The 21,308-nt window shown below is 47.7% G+C and overlaps 1 long non-coding RNA gene across 1 annotated transcript in view, besides 2 other annotated features; it reads right to left on the bottom strand.

Moving 5' to 3' along the window:
* Positions 3,652-3,711: an enhancer, noted in NCBI's record as "active region_15410". NCBI's record gives its function as "activates an Ori minimal core promoter by ATAC-STARR-seq in GM12878 lymphoblastoid cells {active_cell/tissue: GM12878}" and the evidence as "EXISTENCE:reporter gene assay evidence [ECO:0000049][PMID:35858748]".
* Positions 4,759-5,452: an enhancer, noted in NCBI's record as "H3K27ac-H3K4me1 hESC enhancer chr2:23570305-23570998 (GRCh37/hg19 assembly coordinates)". NCBI's record gives its function as "activates a minimal SCP1, AML or CMV promoter by ChIP-STARR-seq in naive and primed H9 embryonic stem cells {active_cell/tissue: H9 hESC(naive and primed)}" and the evidence as "EXISTENCE:reporter gene assay evidence [ECO:0000049][PMID:30033119]".
* Positions 14,769-21,308, bottom strand: part of LINC02923 (long intergenic non-protein coding RNA 2923) — a 29,875-nt gene continuing 23,335 nt past the window's right edge. Inside the window, exons 5-6 of the long non-coding RNA NR_187213.1 lie at positions 17,579-17,878; positions 14,769-15,250 (exon numbers count right to left, since the gene is read on the bottom strand). This is a non-coding gene — a long non-coding RNA (long intergenic non-protein coding RNA 2923). The remainder of the gene's footprint in view (positions 15,251-17,578; positions 17,879-21,308) is intronic.

Consider the following 21,308-nt stretch of genomic DNA (forward strand, 5'->3'; position numbering starts at 1 on the left):
CCGACTTCAATTGCAGGTCTACCTGACTCCAAGCCAACATTGACTTCAGGACTTAGATATCAGGTGTTCAAAAAAAGCTATGACTAGGGAATATACCCCTTATTGTAACATTGTTTCATTGAGAAAATAAGATGCAATTTGCATTGCCACCTCCTACCACATCTTTCCCCTTAACCGTATGTTCCTGTGTGCACCATTTGACACTGAAGGCTGATGGGTGGGCTGGAGAGCGAGGAAGGGGGTGCTGAGCAGATAAGTCAGATGCGTTTACAAAACTGAAGAGTTTTCTCTCCAAACATTAACACCTTTTAGAACATTTTAGCTATTTAAAAAAAAAAAAAAAAACCTGGCTCACATCTGTAATCCCAGCACTTTGGGAGGCCGAGGCGGGCAGATCACTTGAGGTCAGGAGTTCAAGACCAGCCTGGCCAACATGGTGAAACCCCATCTTTACTAAAAATACAAAAATTAGCCAGGCATGGTGGCCAGAACTTGTAATCCCAGCTGAGGCTGAGGCAGGAGAATCGCTTGAACCTGGGAGGTGGAGCTTGCAGTAAGCCAAGAGATCGTGCCACTGCACTCCAGCCTGGGTGACAGAGGAAGACTCCATCTCAGAAAAACAACAAATGAACAAAAAACCCTCAAACTATTTCTATTCAATACTATCGTGAAAGTTATAGAGAACGCCTATTCATTCAATATGTATTTATAGGGGACAATTCACTGTGGGGGAGGCACCAGGAGACAGCAAAGAACAAACCACTCCAGGTGCCTCAGGACTCATACTCTGGAGTCCAGAGTGATGCTAAAATCTGCAATGGCCAGTTAGGCACGCCCCAGGCAGGTGGAACAGATGGGGCTCAGTGCCTGCCTGGGTCCCAAGGAAGTGGACCCCTGGATAAGGAGGAACCCTATACCTTCCCTCGCGACACAGGGAAAGAACCACACATTCAATCACACGGATCCCCAAGACTGAAGAGAGATTTTGGCAAGTACTTTCCCTTTTACTACGTAGAACCAAACTGCCGAGTCCTGTGAGTTTGTGTCTGTTTTGCAGTTTTTCTGCCTCTGATTACCAGACTGTCAGCTGTCACTTCTGATGATCGCTGCCCCTGCACATAGAAGCACCTCTCTTCACTTCTAATTCACTCTGGGTTTTAATACAAGAGTGCAGCTCTTGTTGGAATGTAAGAGTCTTGAATGAGTCCGCAGGCCTGTAGGTAATGCAGGAATGCCTGAGATTTAGGGAAAACACTTTGGGGCATCTCTTCCGTCTTCTGGGGGAAACTTTTTGCTTCCATCCTGATGCTCAGAGCTGTGATCTAGATATTGGAACTTACCAGATAATATCAGGATGAATCCCAACAAAACTGAAATGATAATTTGAGGGCAACTCAGGCAGAGATGTTTTCACAACTTCAGAGGGCAATTTGGCATTCAGGAATTATAAAATAGAGCAAATGTGAAAAACAGGTAGCTAAACAAAAATGATCCCTGCAGCTTTTTCATTTATTTAAATTATCCTGGAAAGAAATAATTTTCCGTAAAACCAACCAAATGAAACTTTGCTGTGATCTCCCACAAACCACCTGGCCAGGTCCTACTGGAGTTTCCAAAAACAATGAGTTTTTACTTTTAAAAATGATCAGAACATTCAGTACTTAACACACAAAAAAGTAGCAACCATTCTGCTTGGCACCATTTAATCAAGTGTGAGTGTCAAATTCTTTATAGCTTCAAATTAACAACAAGGAACTGTAATTTTTGTGTTTGTTTGTTTAAAAGACCAGCCGAGATTTTTCTTTTTGCCTGTTTAAGCTTCATTTAATTCAAGCTCCAATCTGCCCCTCTTTGATTGCATTTCCAAATCCTAAATAAAAGTGATAACTCTTTCTGCCAATTGTAACAAACTGCTGGTGCCAGTTATTGCTTTTTGAAAAAAAAAAAAGCAAAACCAAAACCAAAAAAAAAAAAATCTTTTAATACTTAGCGGACAGCTTTATCCAAAAGCGGGGGGAAAACCCTGGCCTTTCAAAACCATCCAATATATTTGTAACAACCTCTTTACTGAGTTCATGTATCTTCTTTATTGTTCTTCATAAACAGGCTATTGGATCTCTCTAGCTTGCAATGTGAAAAATGAAAGAATTTCCTCCCATCCATGCCTCTCTTATCTCATAATTGTTTTGTTCTGAGAGGTAGGGAAGACCCATATAAATGTCTCTGCTATTTTATTTTGTCCTCTCCAAGCCCGTGCATGCTTTTCTCCGGGGCTTTTGACTCCTTCTCTTCTGTTTCTGCCTGAACCTGGATCTACTTACTGTTCTCTGCATCAAACCCTGCTAAATTGTTTGAGATTTCATTTCTGAGGGTGATGGAAGAGAGATAAGAGTCAAACGCATTTTAAAAGCCACTTTTTGGCATGTCTGTGCTGGGTAGTCAGAGGCAGAGGTGCTTAAGTAGCTGCTCACCTGACATCACAGAACACCTTGGCTGGGGTCTGCAAGGACATCCTCGTGCAGCGTGAGCATCCGCCGCCTCTCTGCCCCCTTCCTTCAAGGGGCCCTGCCCACTGGGCTTTCTTCGCCTCTGCTGCAGCTTCCAAGTTTCCTCTATCTCTCCAGTCTCTTCCATCCTCTCAGTCTTCCTCGTAAAGCTGATGTCTTCCAGAACAGGAATCACCCTTGTCGGGGACAGACAGTTCCAAGAGTCTGTTGAGGTGGGTCATTAGAGAGGAGGTGGGTTTTGTAAATGTGGTTAATTGTCCTGCAAAGGAAGAAGCTGCACACTCCAGGGAGAGGCCATGGAAAGGGTCCAGAGGAAAACAAAATAACTATTTACTAAACCCTGATTCTTCATTGCAACAGAGCAAGCACCTCAGACCAGAGGCCCTCTGCAAGCAGCCCTGAGTATTGAAGTTGTTCCATGTAAAGAATTCCATGAACGCTCATCAGTCAGGTTTTGCTGTGATAATGCTGGGTAACAAATAATCCCCAAATCTCAGTGGCTTCCAACAACAGATTATTTCTTTTCACTCACGGGTCTGCAGGTTGACTGGGGTTAGCTGAACTTGGCTGGGCTTGGACACAGTTTGTTCCGTGGGTCTCTTTATTTTGGAACTGCAACTACCTTATCTTATGGTGGGGGCAGGAGCACCAGAGGACAAACATGGACACGTGACCCCTCAGCACCCTCTCACCTTCATGCAGTGGTTGCACAGCCATGCCCAAAGTGAGCGGGGCAAATATATGCCATCAGCAAAGGAAGGAGTAACATCAAGTGAACATTTGCTCAATGATAATCTAATCTACCACCAAATGCTATACATGCACACTCACACACACTCTCTCTCACACACACATGGATCTTTACGGGCCCAGACAGAACTGCTTCAGAGAGACAATAAGTCTTATAAAAGAGGAATTGTCCACTCTTTTATCTCTCCCAGGTAAGACGACTTTTCAGAGCCCTACAAGGATATTTCGAAATTAGTTTCAGATGCAGAGACACTTCAGGCTGAGAGTAACTTTAAATGTCATCTAGTCTCACATCCTCCCCAAGAGAAGTTTCTAGTACCAGCTCCAGTGATGGCAAGATCACTTCCTTCAAGGCACCCACCATCTGCACACAAAATGAGTCTTCTCCTCCTACAACACGCAAGGCCTTGGATATCTGTGGACACCTCTTAGGGATCCCCAAGCCTGCCCTTCTCCAACAGAAAGACCTTGAGCTGCCTTTCCTCAAAGCCCATGGTTTCTAGCCACACTGTCCTCCAGGCACGTGCCATTTTTTTAATGTACTACTTATTCTGTGAACCTAGAACTGTGCCCAGAGATCCAGAACACCAACTGGAGTGATGGGTTATATGTCTTACCCAGGTTGAGCTTAAAGTCACCTAGAGCCAAGACGTTCTTACACCTGTTGCTCAACTATTCATCAATTCACCATTCATGGAGCACTTCTTATATGCCTTGCATCCCACTGGGTGCTGGGGACACAGTGCTGAATGACATTGACATGGTCCTGGTTCTCATGGAGAATACTTGGAGAGACAGATAATAAATAAGTAAAGAAACCAAATAGATGAAAACTGAAACACCTGCTATGAAGAAAAAGATCAGAAGATATGGGAGGAAGCGAAGCTACTTCAAATAATGTGGCCAGGGAAGGACTCCCCAAAGAGGTGACATCTGAGCTGAGACTGGAAGCATGGGAAGGAGGCTGACCAGGGAGCATGGGAGAGGGGCACTCAGGACCCTCACTGGGCAGGGGTCAGGCTCAGGGCTAGAAAGAGCCTGAGATGTTCAGGAAGCTGAAGGCAAATCAGGTTGGCAGGCGTGTGGTCAGCAGGAAAGGGGAGCACAAGGAGAGGACGTCGATCGGCAGCTCTGGTCAGCTGTGAAAGACGCACAGAGCATATTCTCAGTGCCAGAAGCCATGGGTGCACTTGAAGCAGGTGAGGGCCCGATGTCACTTGGATCCTGAGCAGCGTCTTCAGCATTCCCTGTGCGTGTATCTTTGCAGGTCTTTATGGAGGGGCAGCCTCACTGAAGAACTTCACGTTTGTCCCAACTGAGTTTCTCTTTGTCCATGTAGGACCCTGGTCCAGCCTGTCAGTGACAAGCCAGCCTTCTCTCCAGGCTCCCTGCCCCCAACACGGGAACAGCATTTGCTCCACGGCTTTCTCCAAGCCAAGAGGAAGCATGACGATAAGAGGGTGAACAACAGCCCTCGACGTAGAGAAAGTATAAAAGTCTGACAGCAGAACTTTAAAAGCAGAGACTTCAGTGGCCATGGTTTTCAGAATCAAACAGTTCATCTCACCCGGCAGCCCGCCAATGGCCGGGAACAGGCAATGCATCACAGGTGTGCAGGCCACACCCTCAGGGAAGGAGAAGACAGAGGGTCCATGCCAGGAGGCCTGCAGCCAAACGCCCCTGGGGTCTTGTCGTGCCCAGCCTAGGAGGACGAGGTCTGTGTGTCCTACGTCTCCAGGCCTCTTCAGCATGTCGTTTGGGACCACCTGCTCAGCAGACTGTGACTGTGCCAGGATTGCATCACCTCCGCCTTCTCTCTTGCCATTAACACGGGCTGCTGTGTAAGTATGGGCGATAAGGAGAGGGTGCGTGGAGACCAGAGGGCCAGTGAGGAAGCAGGCGGTCCTCAGAGAGCAGCTTGGTGGCCAAGGAGACTTGGGATTCAGAGCCCTGGAGATAAAGGTGGAGACGTCTGCACAGATGAGGCATGGGAGGAAGGGCTGCGGGCAGCTTGAGGCTGAGAGCACACAGTGAGGAAGGCTCTCTCGGGTACAAAGGGAGACACCGGGAGGCCCTCGAGAAGCTCAGCTGACCAAAGACACCCTTCCCAGCAGGAACTTTTCTTTCAGTGAGTGACCTCCCTTGAAGAAAAAGAACCCTAAGTGAAAGGGAGTCAAGACTAAGAATGGCGCCGAGGGCGGCACAGCTGCTGCAGAGGGCAGTGTGGGGGCGGCACACCTGCTGCAGAGGGCAGTGTGGGGGCGGCACACCTGCTGCAGAGGGCAGTGTGGGGGGGGCACACCTGCTGCAGAGGGCAGTGTGGGGGCGGCACACCTGCTGCAGAGGGCAGTGTGGGGGGGGCACACCTGCTGCAGAGGGCAGTGTGGGGGCGGCACACCTGCTGCAGAGGGCAGTGTGGGGGCGGCACACCTGCTGCAGAGGGCAGTGTGGGGGCGGCACACCTGTTGCAGAGGGCAGTGTGGGGGGAGCCCTGTGTCCTGGGGGACGGCTGGTGTCACTCTGGCACCTCAGAGGGACTCATCCTTTGGCCTCACGTCATGCTGTTCCCCTTCCTTCAACCTCGTGACCTGATCTGAATGACACACAGACTTCAGGGGTCAAACCCAAACTTCTGAGGAGGAAGAACCTCAAACTTATCATCTCCTTTACATTTTTCAGGGGAGGAAACAAGTTTTAAATCAGTATGTATACAGCAGACCCCCCTTATCCGCGGGGCATACGTTCCAAGCGCCCCAGTAGATGCCTGAAACTGCAAATAGTAATAAACCGTATGCACACACAGCTTTTTCTTATACATACATGCCTATGATAAAGTTTAGTTTATAAATTAGGCACAGTGAGAGATTAACAATAATAATGAAATAGGATATTTACAATAATATAGTATAATAAAAATTATGGGAATGCACCCTCTCTCTCAAAATATCTTATTGTACAGAACTCAACTATTTTCAGACCATGGTTGACAGTCAGTAACTGAAACTTCAGAAATCAAAACCACAGATTCAGGAGAGCCTGTTGCAGCGTAATCCTATCGTTAAAAGTACATGATATAGGCCGCCTGTAATCCCAGCACTTTGGGAAGCCAAGGTGGGCAAATGGCTTGAACCCAGGAGTTTCAGACCAGCCTGGGCAACATGGCAAAGCCTCATCTCTAATAAAAATATTTTAAAAATAATCCAGGAGTGGTGGTGTGCACCTGTAGCTACTTAAGAGTCTGAGGTAGGATGACTGTTTGAGCCCAGGGGGTGGAAGTTACAGTGAGCCATGATTGCACCACTGCACTCCAGCTTGGGTGAGAAAGCAAGACCCGATTTCAAAAAAAAAAAGTATCTTATATATTAATATAACAAGTATTTATGTGTGCATATATACAGAAGGGGGAAATGTCTGGCAGATATTTACCAACGGTTTATCCTCTTCTGAGTTCATTCATTCCTTTCAATACTTATAAAGACCTTCCATATTAGAAACTGTACTGAAACTCAGTGTCAAAATGTTATTAATTTGATATAACTAATTTAATTTTTTCTTCATTCCCTTTTTTATGTATATTCATATTTTCTCAGTTTTAAAGAATAATGATAACGCACCAAAGAAAAAGCTTCGAAACCAGGCCCCTTGGCCCCCAGGCAGACTCTCTGCCCACCTCCCCCGCTTCCTTCTCCCCAGCTCCTCCCCTCCAGGCTAGGCACCCTGTTTGAGAATCTTCAGACTTCTGCAGGAGCATTTGCACCTGAAGTACCTGTCCCATTTTTTCCCCTCTGATCCCCATGTCCCCTTGGAGCTCAGATGAAGCCCCACCTGGCCTCTCCAGGTCCCGGGACTCCCCAGCATTGGGGTCTGGACAGCTGTGCAGGGCCCCGTCATCTTGCAGAGGTGATATCGCTCTCAGTTCATGCAGCACCGAAGAGGCAGTAAAGGAGATAAACAGAATTTCTGCTCAATGAGTTGATGATAATAATAAATAAGGCCTTTTCTCCAAAGACTTGAAATCTGCTGGCTCATTTCAATGCACAAAATTATTCGTTTAAAAAATTCTCCCCACAGACTTGAAATAGGTGGGGGATTAGTAATCATTAACCCCATTTTGCAGATGGAGAAACCAGGACCCAGCGGGAGCTGGAGCCCACAATGACTGGCAAAGCAGGTGTCCTGACTCCCTGGCCAGTGCCCTATTTGGAGAGGGTACAGTCACAGCCCCAAGCTGCCACTGTAGGCACAGGACCAGAAAGCCATTCCTAGATCCTCAGGAGTCGATACTGAATCCACCACCCAGCTCGCGAACTGCTTCCTTCCTCTGACTCAGAGTTCCCTAAGGCCCAGACTAGCATCTTCTCTTCCCTTTCTCTATCCTTCCAAGACTGAGCAAAGCAAACACAAGGCCCAGAATCCCCTTCTGCCTCCCGCCTCCCCACTGAATGTGCTCAGAACAGGGTTCCCTGAAGGCCCCCGGCACTTGGGGATGGATGATGCTTGGATCAGCTGAACCCCGGCAGGACAACGTCTCTGGTCCAGGCACTTTTATTTTCCAGAAGAATCCTGCCCACCCAGGGAGACTGAGAGGCAGCCATGTGGCTCAGAGCAGGGAGAGGACATCCTTCTCCTGCTCTGCCTTTGACTGTCAGAGCTTCCAGCCTCCGGGTAACCATGGTAATCGGCAGCATTAACCGCAGCAGTGACAGGAGCCTCAGCAGGCCCACTCTGACCTGCTCCACTGCAGATGGTGCACCGCCGGCTTCCCGCAGCTTCGGTGGGGAGCTGTGACCGGCTGCCAAGCCCCTGCTGCACTCACCTGCACACCTGCTGCCTGGGCCCAGAGGTTGCAAAGGGTGGTCTGTTGCCCAGACCCAAGAGTCAATGCTAGAGAGATAAAGGGGCCTTGAACCTCCTGCAACCCTTCACAGGGCCTGGTCAAAAGAGGTCCAGGATGCAGTCCAAAAGCATAGTTGCCACGTCAGCGGAAGCTGTGGGCCTGGGCTTTTTCTCTGGACCCGCCACTTTTCCAGTCTTAGTCCCGACACCAAAGGTGGCAGCCATCCTCCAGTCACCTCAGGAGGCCAGCCCGACCTGAGCCAGTGAGGGCCTCTCATGTCAGAAATTGGGGCCATCCACAGTCATCTTCTGCTCTCTTTACAGGGCCATGCTGAGGAAGCCACAGCAGAGCCATTCTTGACCAGTTGGATGCTGCCACCCACCCACCCCACGGGGCCCATCAGCTCCACTGGCCCATGTGTTTCCAGGTCTCTGACAACAGCTGCATGTCCTGCCAGCCTGATCGTTCTTATTCCTGAGTTCCCTTCCCTCCTTTTAAGCACTGAACGAATCCCAGAGCTGAGCCCCTGCCCAGAACCCAGGGGTCTGTCCTTTGCAGCTCTGAGGGCCAGAGGGGACTGCACACAGGGAAACAAATCCAAGACCTTCTACATTTCTCAGGTCCTTGAGTGCTTCTCTCTGCTCCCAGCCTCCCTGCCCTCCAGAGGCCAGCCCCGGGTTAAACAGGGGTTGCACAGGCCAGAGACCGCATCCCGGATTCCAGACCCACGCGGCTGGAACAGGCTCCGCAAATTCTGCCAAACTATGCGAAGCATTCTTAGGTCCAGCTTCTTCTGAGAAATCTCAAAATGGAGAGGACAAAGGCAAAGACAGTGAGTTTCCCAGGAAGCCCCAAAGCCCTGGCTTCCGCCCAAACTCGTTTGCGGCCCTGGGAGTCCGTGGTGGGGACGGAGAACGACGTGGCACTCCCTCTAGCGGCAAACGTCTCGCACAGAGCCCGGCATCTCTGCGGCCGGAGGCTCGCCTGCCGCATGCTCTCCTGCCAGGGCCACGCAGCCTGCCCTCCTCTCCCGGGGAGGGGAGATCTGCTCAGCAACTCCCCTGTGGCCATGGAAGAGGGGCTGTCGGGTGTCGGGGGAGGAGACCCCCCTCCGGCCTCAAAGCAATTCCCAGCCAGGCCTTCACAGCTGCATCCTGGCGCCTGGGAGGGAGGTCACCACGCTGCCTTCTGCCTTGATTAGGCCGGTAACAGTCAGGAAAGCCCTGGGGCTCACCCGAACCGAGCTGTCTACAGACAAATCACAGGCTCGGAGCTGCTTCACCAAGCCGAGCACAGTCTCCTGTTTCCAGCACTGACTTCCCAGGAAGCCTGGCCGGTTGCCCTGCGCGGTCCCCTCTGGACCTTCTTCAGCCTCTGACACCCCTGCTAGGATTCCATGGTTGGCTCCTGTGCCCTCCACCCCATTCTTTGGGGACACATGTTCTTACGCATCTCTGTACCCCAGCAACCCGCACAGTAATTGTCTATTGAATTCATATAAGAATGAAGAAATAAAACAGTATTTGCTGTTACAAAAGATGTTTCTCCACACAGAGAGTTCTTCACCAGAATCCCCGGGAGGCTCTGCCTGCACCCAGGGAGCTCCATGAGGTCTTCACCGTGCTCCTCCCTTTGTTCCACCCTGTCCTGCCCCAACTAAACTTAGTTGCTTGAGGATAAAGGCTAAGTCTAATCCGTCTCTGGTCCAGAGTCCTGAAGAATGCTGAGAAACATTTAAGGGAGGGAGGAAGAGAGGGAAGGGGAAAGAGAGGGAGGATGGACCCTAATCAAAGTGGGCATTTGACACAAAGCCAATCTCCTTGGTCTGTTTAGCCAGTCTATCTGTCTTCAGAGAGCAAGGGTGCTCTTAACTCCATTAATTAATTAATTTTAATTGTAACAGTTTCACTGAAATATAATTCACATATCATTAGAATTTACCCATTTAAAATACAAGTCGACTGGGCATGGTGGCTCACGCTTGTAATCCCAGCACTTTGGGAGGCCGAGGCGGGCAGATCACCCGAGGTCGGGAGTTCGAGAGCAGCCTGACCAGCATGGAGAAACCCCGTCTCTACTAAAAATACAAAATTAGCCTGGCGTGGTGGCACATGCCTGTAATCTCAGCTACTTGGGAGGCTGAGGCAGGAGAATCGCTTGAACCATGGAGTCGGAGGTTTTGGTGAACCGAGATTGCACCATTGCGCTCCAGACTGGGCAACAAAAGCAAAACTCTGTCTCAGAAAATAAAATAGAATAAAATACAAGTCGGTGGTTTTGAGTGTATTCAAAAAGTTGCACATCCATCAACACCATTTCAGAACATTTTCATTACCTCCAAACATCCACTAGCAGTCGCTTCCCATTCCCTCCAAACCCCTCAGCCCTAGGCAACCACTTATCTACTCTCTGTCTCTGGATTGGCCTATTCTGGACATTTCATAAAGTGGAATCTTACAATCTATGTTGTTTTGTGACTGGCTTCTTTCACTTAGCAGAATGTTTTCAAGGTTCTTCCATGGTGTCCATGTATCAGTACTCTATTTATTTTTATTGCCAAATATTATGTGATAAATACATGGGTTTTTTTGTTTTTTGTTTTGTTTTGAGATGGAGTCTCACTCTGTCTCCAGGGTAGAGTGCAGTGGTGCAATCTCGGCTCACTGCAACCTGTACATGTTATTTTTCCCCTCATTAGTTGATAGACATTTGGGTTGTTTCCACTTTTTGGAATTATGAATAATTTTATTTTTATGATATTAAAAAAATTGTTTGAAGCTTTCCCTGCTTCCAAAGAGGATCTGGGGTAGTCTATCATAAAAATGGTAAAGACATAATAAAATCTTACACTATTCATATGGACATTAATATTTAATATTGAGCTTCCTTGGCTCACTGCAACCTCTGCCTCCCGGGTTCAAGCGATTCTCCTGCCTTAGCCTCCCAACCAAGTAGCTGGGACTATAGGCACACGCCACCACACTCAGCTAATTTTTGTATTTTTAGTAGAGATGGAGTTTCACCATGTTGGCCAGGATAGTCTCGATCGCTTGGGGTATCATGGTGGATAAGACAAATACAGACTTGCCCTTTGGAACACAGGATCCAAGGAGGGAGCATGGCCCTAACCAAGCGGACAACTTGGTATTTCCAAAATGTGAAGTGCTGCAAGGAAAAGGAAGAGGGAGCTGCGATGAGGAACCTCAAAGAAGGCAGAGAACATGCTCACATGAGTGGTCAGGGAAGCCCCAGGAAGGAGGTAGCTTGGAAGTTGAGACCCTAAGAAGGAGCCAGCCATGTAGTCAGAGGGAGGATGATATTTATGGCACAGGGAATCACATGAGCAAGAGCTCCAGGGTGAAAGGGAGCCTAGTGTGGTCCAGGAACAGGGAAAAGCATCGAGGCTCGACTGTGGGGAAAGGGCAGGAGGCACAAGACAGGGTCGCAGAGATCCACGGATGCCTCATGGATCAAGACAGGGAGCTGGAATTTTACTCAAGTACAATAGGAATTCAATGAGAAGTTTTGGAAAGGAGAGTAATGAGAATCGATTTAAGTTTTGAAATGACTGTTGTGTGGAGACTGAATTGAAAAGCAAAAGAAGACACAGGAAACCCTGCTGGGAGGATTTCGTGTGTCCAGAAGGGATGCCTCTATGGGATGGCGGTCAAGTTGGAGAGAAGTGAGGAGACTCAACATATATGGTGGAAGTAAAAAGAACCAGACTACCTGGGAAATTGCTTATGGGGCAGGAAAAAAACCTAAAGAAGAGGGAGGCATCACAGACAGCTTCCAGATTTTAGTTTATGGAACTAGATAAAAGACTGCACCAACTACTGAGGTGGAAAGAATGGAATGGGTTTGGAGAAAGATCCAGAGTTCTATTAGAGACACACCTGGCTTAAGTCGTGTGTGCAACACCCGCATGCAGCTGCCGAGCAGGCCACTGGATATAAGAGGCTAAAGCGCTGAGAGGAGGCCTTCCTGGAGATGCAAATTAGGGACTGTCAGAATCAGAGTGACATTTGCAGGCTTGGTTATGGAGGAGATCACCTGGGAAGATCTTTGAAGCTTATGAAGCGATCTTCCCAGGTACCAAATCAATAAGCCAGTTCTGCCCGTTTGGAGGGAGAAAAAAAATCCCAGATGAGTCTAGCCTTTTGGTGTGTGTAAATTAATGAGTTTGATGGAGCCACGTTTTCTCCAGTCAGTTATGGCTTTGTTTCCATGCATGCCCACACAGATACACAAAACAGCACTCATGACCCCCAAGGAGCCAGGCCCTCACCAAGTGGACAACTCAGTCCTTCCAAAATGTGAAGTGCTACAAGGAAAAGGAAGAAGGAGATGCAATGAGGAACCTCAAAGTGGGCAGAGAACATGCTCACATGAGTGGTCAGGGAAGCCCCAGCAAGGAGGTGACTTGGAAGTTGAGACTCTTAAGAAGGAGCCAGCCATGTGGTCAGAGGGAGGATGATATTTATGGCGCAAGGAATGGCATGAGCAAGAGCTCCAGGGTGAAAAAGAGCCGGGTGTGGTCCAGGAACTGGGAAAGAAGGAGACTTGGGCAGGCAGCTACACTCGGGTCAGCAAGGGAGTTAGCCCCCAACATGGGAAGAAATGTTCCGATCCAGCAGTTAGATTGTCTGTCAACAGGCTACCACTGCAGCAGAAATGTTGTTGTGGCACAACCACTACCAACCACCAATGCAGACTGCAGTGATGCTCTCAAGACTATTTAAGAAGGCGAGAGATTAAGCTACCTGGATTCACACTCAGCTGCAGAGGCAAAGGAAGAAGCTCCATCCATATGTCGCACCCCAGTCTGGGTGAGAAAGCAAGACCCTATCTCAAAAAAAGTATCTTATATATTAATATAACAAGTATTTATAGGTGCATATATACGGAAGGGGGAAATGTCTGGCAGATAATTACCGATGGCTTATCCTCTTCTGAGTTCATTCACTCCCTTCAATACTTACAAAGACCTTCCATATTAGACACTGTTACTGAAACTCAGTGTCAAATGTTATTAATTTATATAACTAATTAAATTTTTCTTCATTCCTCTTTTTATGTATATCCGTATTTTCTCAGTTTTAAAGAATAATGATAATGTACCAAAGAAAAAGCTTCAGGCTGGATGTGGTGGCTCACACCTGTAATCCTAGCATTTTGGGAGGCCGAGGCAGGTGGATCATAAGGTCAGGAGTTTGAGATCAGCCTGGTCAATATGGTGAAACCCCGTCTCTACTAAAAATACAAAAGTTAGCGGGGCGTGGTGGCAGGCACCTGTAATCCCAGCTACTTGGGAGGCTGAGGCAGGAGAATTGCTTGAACCTGGGAGGCAGAGGTTGCAGTGAGCCGCAATCACGCCACTGCACTCCAGCCTAGGCAGCAGAGCGAGACTCCATCTCAAAAAAAAAAAAAAAGAAAAGAAAAAGAAAAAAGAAAAAGTCTCGAAAGCAGACCCCTCAGCCCTCATCATCCTCATCGTCATCCTCATCACCATCACTCTGCTAATAAAAAGCTTGTTTTGTCCACCAAAACCTACAGAAAACTTCCCAAGTTTTATTTTTCTGGAAAATCAACATTTACTAAAGAATTTGCTCAGGACCCCCTGAAGAAAGATAGTATATTGCTGTATTTCTGAGACATGATTCTATTTTTTGATGATTTTACCAGAAAACCTGGGTAAAAAATAAAAGACTTCTCAAGAATCCCATTCCACAGGTAAAGACAATGCTAACTTCTGCTGTTTGTGAACGGGGTGACTTGGCCTTCTCTCTCTGCCACAGAGACCCTGTGATGGGGGGAGTGTGGGCTGCCAGCACAAGCTGAGCTAGGGGAGGAGAAATTAGCAGGGATTTGGCTTTGTCCAGTCGTTTCTCAATGATGAGGGTGATTCAGATATACAAGAACTAGTGTCAGTTGGGTTTTAGTTTATGGAGGGAAAGAAAGATGCCATCCATTACCCAGTTGTCTGTTATTGATCATGATGATGGCCCAACGCCCAAGGTGGACGGCAGGAGCACAGGGAAGAGAGGGACACCCTGGCCTCATCTCAGGAAAGCCAAAGCACAACGGAGGCCAAGACGGGGCCCAGCAGAGCCAGCAGCAGAACTAGCCTGCGAGCACTTAAGGCCAAGTGCTTCCGAATCCAGCATGGCAGGCAGGAGTCCTGCGGGGAGGCAGCACTGCAGGATTCCAGAGGCAAGCCCCAGAGGGGTGAAGACCTGGGGTTGAGAGGGCCCTGGATGATTCTGAGAGAGGATGGAGGGTGCATCGCCAGCAGGAAGGGGCTGAGCAAAGCTCCAAAGCTGGAAGGTAGCGGTGCATTTTGGGGCAGCAAGGAGAGCAAGGTGGGGAGGGCCCAGAAGGGAAGGGTGGGACACAGCAGGTGGAACAATGAGGGGAGCGCCCGGAGGAGGGACAGAGAGGAGCAAAGGCTCCTGTCCTCAGGCAGAAACCCATCTGACCTGAAGCCATGTGGCTGTATCTTTTCCACCCTAGGACCCCACCAGGAGCCCCTCAACAGGCCCAGATGAACTCTGTTCTGACTCCACATTCAATCTTCAAACACAGGAATGTGGCCATAGACAAACTGGTTTAAGTTTTAATGTAACCCGCCAAACCAATTCCCAGGGAGAACTGATTCTTATAAAGTCTTGGCATTTACCACCCACTATTCATCTTTATTTTAAAAGATCCTAAGAAGTCCACAAATTACAGGGTGCAGAATACCTCAGGCTCTATCTGTTTACTCATGGGTTGGCCCTAAATTAACAGAAACTTGTTGTTTTACTTAAAAACATTCTGAAGAGTGTTCTTTCAGGATTTCCTGGCTTAACTGCATGTAAAGAGAGATTCAGAAATGAAAATAGTAAATATGAAAACTTATCCATTACTTACCAACCCAGTCTTTGGCAAATTTCTATTGTAAGTGGGCTGGGCCCCTAAGAAAAGCTGAGGCTGGAAAAGTGGCCTGAGGCCTTGAGGTCACTCCTGTGGCTTGACTGCAGTTTATGCTGTGGCCAAGTGGAGAAGGGAGATGGCCCAGCCAGGCACAGCTGGGGCTTCAGAGAAGTCATCCAAAGTCCAGGGGGCTTGTCAATCAATGCTGATTGACACTGATGTTATAAAGTGCCATGATATTCTAGAAGTGACATGGAAAAAAATGGAATTACTTTGGAAATGTAATTTCACTCAACCAGTTTTTTTCCCTTTTCCCTGAATCTCTTCTTCCAGACTAGAATAAAAAAGTGTGCTGCCCAGAGAAGGTGGAGGAGGACAGTGATGAAGGTCACAGAGTTTAGAAGCAGAATATGACATAAAGATGCTCCCAGCTAACCAAAAACAAAATAGAAGATCCTTCCACTGCTAGTGGAAGAGCCAGGAGAGAGAAAATGAAAGGGAAAGAGGTCAGATAGGAATTTCTGGCTCTCTCCAGTGGTTGCAACCTCTGGGGGTAGAAAAGAAATTGATAGTGTCAGACAGGTTTGCAGGGAAAGGCCAGCACATAGCTGCTTACGCCTGGCTTCCCTGCATATCCCAGGAAAATCAGAGGGGCCTCAAAAAAACCTTCTGTTGGGCAAGGTGTCTACCACGATACAGGGTGGCAAATTAGAAATGACCGAGGGAGTGGTCTGGGTGGCCACAGACAACATCCCCCCTACTGTCCTCCTATCCTAGGAGTGCGACATAGGAATCTAGAAGCTCCCTCATGCCAAGCTCCCAAGATCATTCACCAAGCTGGGCCTGCACTAAGAAAACAGACTACAGGATCCACCCAGCAGTGGGCACTTCAGTGGTGGAGCTAGCGAGGACAGAGCTGCCCTGGGACAAGCAGGGGTGAGCAGGTCAGCCAGAGGACAGCTCCCAGGCAGGCAAGCCCATCAAAGCCAGGAGACAGAAAGACGCCTTGAACCCAGACATCCTCTTGGGAAAGTGGGGCAGGAGGAGAACAGCCTGCTTGAGAGAGGAATCACAGACCTGAAAAAGAATATGAATTTTCATTGGTTTATGATTTACTGGGTCATGAGGGCTCTTTTAAACTAGAAGAAAGAATGCTACCTTCCCTTGTCAAGGCAAAAGACAGTTTTTGGTGGTAGTGCTGGTAGTGGTATTTGTGTTTTTGTTATCATTGCTATTTTTCCTGCCATCAGCAAGAAAGTAAGATCAAACCAGTTCGGGAAGATTAAAACAGCAACGTTTTTCTGCATATGCCAATATTTAACTGCTAAATTTGAGCCCCCCTACAACCTATAATTGTCTTTTTTTTTTTTTTTTGAGATGAGGTCTCACTCTGTCACCTAGGCTGGAGTACAGTAGTGTGATCTCGGCTCACTGCAACCTCTGCCTCCCAGGTTCAAGCAATTCTCCTCCCTCAGACTCCCAAGAAGCTGGGATTACAGGAACGCGCCACCTAATTTTTGTATTTTTAATAGAGATTGGGTTTCAGCATGTTGGCCAGGCTGGTCTCAAACTCCTGACCTGATCTCAAGTGATCCACCCACCTCAGCCTCCCAAAGTGCTGGGATTACAGGTATGAGCCACCATGCCCAGCCCCTACAACTATCTAAAGGGTCTCTAAGGAATAGGCACACACAGCAGATGGACTCTCAAGACAGTGGCAACTCACAAAGTCCAGCTGGTAGCAGCCACTTCATCCCAGTGTGAGTCCAGCTTTGTTGAAGGAAGACTCTAGCAGCAGCCACAGCTGAAGGACAGGGCCCAGCACTTAGCAGAGTGGCCTGCAAGGGCTGGAAAGGATGTCCAGCACCAACTAAGTGTTCAATCCAAGGAGAAATGAGGTTCTGGGCAGGAAAACCAGTGCAGACTACCCAGCTTCTGGTCTGGAGTGGCTTGCTGAAGGTTTCATGGAAGACATTAACTCAGGGGATTGTCCTCTGCTGGACATTCTCAGCAAGAATAACTTCAGCCCGCCTGCTGCCCTATAACCCACCCGCCTGACCAGGCTTGACTTCTTGGGGAACCACGGCTGCTCATTCTCCAAAGATGCCAGCCTCATTGCTCTCCCACTTCACACAATGAGAAGAGATAATGGACTCAAAAGCACGTCACGAACTGCAAAGGGCCACACAAAAGCTGGCATGGTTATTAATATTAGCCGTGTTTCTTTTTCTCCAAGAGAGGGAGATGGCAGCATTTATGTGTTGGTAAATCTCGAAAGGCGTCCTGCCTGGGCCTTCTTCTCCTTCCGTCCTTTGGCCTGTGAACTTCTCAGTCCGACCCAATGAGTCATTCTGATGGCCGTGTTGTTCTTTATCATAAACAAACAGTTCATGCCTGTCTCAGCGCCCAGGACACAGGAGGCCTTTATTCAGTACCTACTGGTGGAACTGAACAGAACTAAAAGAGACGCTACTCTTGTACTGATGTGAAAACGCCTGGGCAAGCAGTATTCTGACCACAAGCAGGTACTTCATGAGACAGCATTTCATCATTTGTCTGTGAACCTTACCTCTGGAGTGTTCCGGAGGGCAGGACCCATTTCTTCTGCATATCTCAAACCACCGGCGTCCATCCCAGGCCTCCAGCCTTGTTTGGTGAAGGAGTGTTCAATCGATCATCCGAGTGATTGCTCAATTGAAGATATGTTAGTCAAAATCCATAAATCAATCCATGGGCCCACATCCCAGGTATTGCAGTAGAGGTGTGGGGCTGAGGGCCAGGATACCACAGTTCTGGCTCTTAACTGCCACAGGTTTAATGTGTGGCTTTGGAAAAGTTGCCTCCCTTCTTTAGGCTCTTGTTTTTTCATCTGTAAATTCAGGAAAGAGGATTTTTAAAATCTTTTGAGTATGTGAATCCATATTCTGTGATTTTTATCTACCCCCGGCCCCCCGACTCTCCTAGGCAAGGCGAACAAAACCAAACCAGATAAAATCATCTCCAACAATTTCACACAAAAAAAGAGCTGCCCTCTTCTTAATGAGATTCCAGTGAGGTTAAGACTGGTTTTCATTAGATTCTGCAGTTGTTTAACGCCATTAGAATGTTGTTTGTAGAATGATTTTCAAATGTGAGTAAAATGTAAGTAAATGATTCATTTAAATCTGAATCCAAAGAGGTGACAAGGCCACTAGGAGGCCCCAGCACGTGGTCAAGCAGGAGAGGGAGGGGCAGCAGGAAATGGACCCAGGGCACGAGGGGTTGCATCAGAAGACTTGTCACGCGCAGCCTCGAGGGTGGGAGCAAAGAACAGAGGCTGATGAATCCGGGCCTCTGACTCTAACGGCAGCAACCTATGAGTCCCTCTAATTCACGTGAAATCCTAATTTTCAAAAAACAGCAACACAATTCATGTCAAAATTTTACTCGGCATAGCTTAATCTTGAATCTTTGACGATTTGAAATCATGCAACTTTCAATTATTGTGGCACATGCAGGTTTATACACACACACACACACACACACACAGACACACACAGACACACACTTCTCCCTCCCTCTCTAGAAATCATTAGACGTTTTGGTCTTAATGATGTGGAGAAATAAAAAAAAGCACTAGACTTGAGCTGCTACCCAGACTCTGCCATGAGAGGCCATAGTGCAATGTCTGGAATGCAGTGTGAGTGCATGCCCAGCGAATGTTAGCAATGATGATGATGATGATGATGATGATGATGACGATGATGATGATGGAGATGTTGATGGCAATGTTTACAACTATGACTGAAGAAGTACAGAAGTACCAGGGACACCCAACTCAGACTAGAAGTTAGTGAGCCCTCTCTGGAGGGAGTGACATTTTGGCCAAGCAAAGAGGAGAGAAGGGGCCCACTCACATGCAGGCCAGGGTGGCTGTGCATTTCTGCCAGCAGAACTCGCCATGGGCGTCACCCTAACCTGGTGACTGAGTGCTCCTCCTAGCAGCTGTCTCTGTCCAAAATTTTGACTTCGGCCCTTCTTGCCCCATTTCTAGGCTCACCTCACCTTCCCCACTTGACTGCCAGCAGTGCTGAATGTGTGCTTCCTGGAAGCAGTTTTTAAAAATAAATCTTTGAGGTGAGTTTGTTTCCTGGGCATCTGTCTCTTTCTCCAATAGCAACTCATTTAATCATGAACAGCCTTGCAAAGTTAGCAACATTAGCATCCTCACCGTACATGTAAAATGGTTAGGAGTGCCATGAGCTGGATAACTGAATACTCATCTAAAGAAGAGGAAACTGAGGCATGTGTAGGTGAAGTATGTTGCCCATGTTGATATAGCCTAGAGTAAGTTGCAGGGCTGAGGTATAAACCCAATTCTGTCTGTCTCCTAAGTCTGTAAGTTACAACAACGTCTCATTCTCAACACCTTTTATTCCAAGGATTTCAGGCTGTCTTGCCTGCAAAGCTGTGAGCTCTGCAAGGTCAGAGACATTGCCTGTTTTGCTCACTGCTGTATCCCTTAGCACAGTACTTAGCTAGGGTATCGAGCAGTGTCTCAATAAATATTTGTTGAATGAATATATAATGCCATCTACCTTAGGAGGTGATAAAGGGAAGCAAATATGTTTCTGTGGTGCTTAAATTATATATCTATGAAAGTAAAAGGTATTTGAAGTACAGTTTTTAGCAACTAAATTAGGTTCTGAACAAGAAACAGCAGCCCTCCAAGTCTCCATACAGAGGGGACTCAATAACAACTTATTGGTATTACACATGATGAAGAAGCTGGGGAGAGAGCAGTGGTGCCAGGTGCTCTATAGATGAGCACGGCAAGAAGCTACTACCACCCTTTGGATGGAGGAACAAAGAAGAGCCACAAAGTTGCCCAGGTCAGGTGGCTGGGGTCACCTGGTAGGTAGACAGTGAGTCCATCCACAAGGAGCTGGGGCCATGGACATTGCTGCTTCTGCCTAGGACTCCATCTAAGGCAAGGAGAAAAGGAGAGAAATGCACCAGCTTCTCCCTGCTTCTTGCTGTCAAGTCTCCTTCCAGTGCTTTTCATTGCCCAAACCAGCCAGGAGTCCACAGACAGGGTAGTCTGGAAAAGCATCCAACCTATGCAACTGCCTGTGACATGGAGCTGAGCAGGGGAGGGGAGGAAACCGGCTCAGGACAGCACAGAGGTGGATTCTGAACCTAAGATTTGAAAACCATCACGTGGAAAAGGAAGGGTCAGAGTTTTTCAGACATTTCTTATACGACAGTATATTGTATTCAGGAATATCCAGAGGAGGATGTTTTGGACAAATTGGGGAAGTGGCCACCTCTGGCTTTGAAATTCCCAGCTGAAATGGGTGAATGATGCAGGTTTGGGAAGGGGGAGCAGGTGCAGCGTGAGATGCTTTCTCATTCTTCATTCCACTGGGATGTTGGTCCCCATGAGACCCACTGCCCCGGGCCCTTGCCTGTCCACAAAGACAGCCTGAGCCTGGTCCCTTTAGCTCCCTCCTGCTTAAGAACTGGCTCCACAGCCACAAGGCTAACTGACTTAGCAGAGCAAGTTCTATGGCCCCAAGTAAAGACCTCTAGCTCAGAGCAGGCTAAATGTCTCATTTCACCAATGTTCCCCAGTCCAAGTCATGGAAGATAGATTGACCACCAGAGCAGTAAAGACCCCGTGAGCTTGCCTGGTACTAACCCACTCTCTGCCTCTACCTACCTCCTATTCCAAATGCAGACACTAAGGGCCAGAGATTGAAAGAGGCTGGACCACAGTCACATGGCTCCCAGGGGAGGAGGGGCAGATATGTGTGTGTGTATGCTTGAAACTGAATGTTTCACAATGTAAAAGTGAAAGACTATAAAACCTTGAAAGTTGGAGAATTGGTGTTATGGTAAACTGAGTGATTTGATTCAAAATGATCAGACTTGGCACATTAATCTCAATTTTAAAATATTTATAGTAAATACATACAAATCTTACTCAACAGAGCTTAACAATTTATTTTTGATGATGCTAAAGACACCAAAGACCTTGCCAGCCCTCCGTTGGGGATGCCTCAAAAAGATGCAGGAGATATAGCTAAATGTGTGATGGCCTCAGGACATGTCCTGGAAACCACTTTTAAAAATAAATCTCTGGAGACTTTGCCTTCTGTCTATGACTGAGTAGCTTGTGTCAGGTTAACCATCCTGCAGAGAACAACTATAAAAGCTAAATATATTTCAAAAAACAGCTGTTAAGAGTCATCAGAGAGTAACAAAGGCAGCCAGGACTTTAGGGGCCAAGATCCTGGAGTGAAGGGAAATGCAGTGAG

Source organism: Homo sapiens, chromosome 2 (assembly GCF_000001405.40).
Source record: "Homo sapiens chromosome 2, GRCh38.p14 Primary Assembly".
Lineage (NCBI taxonomy): Eukaryota > Metazoa > Chordata > Mammalia > Primates > Hominidae > Homo > Homo sapiens.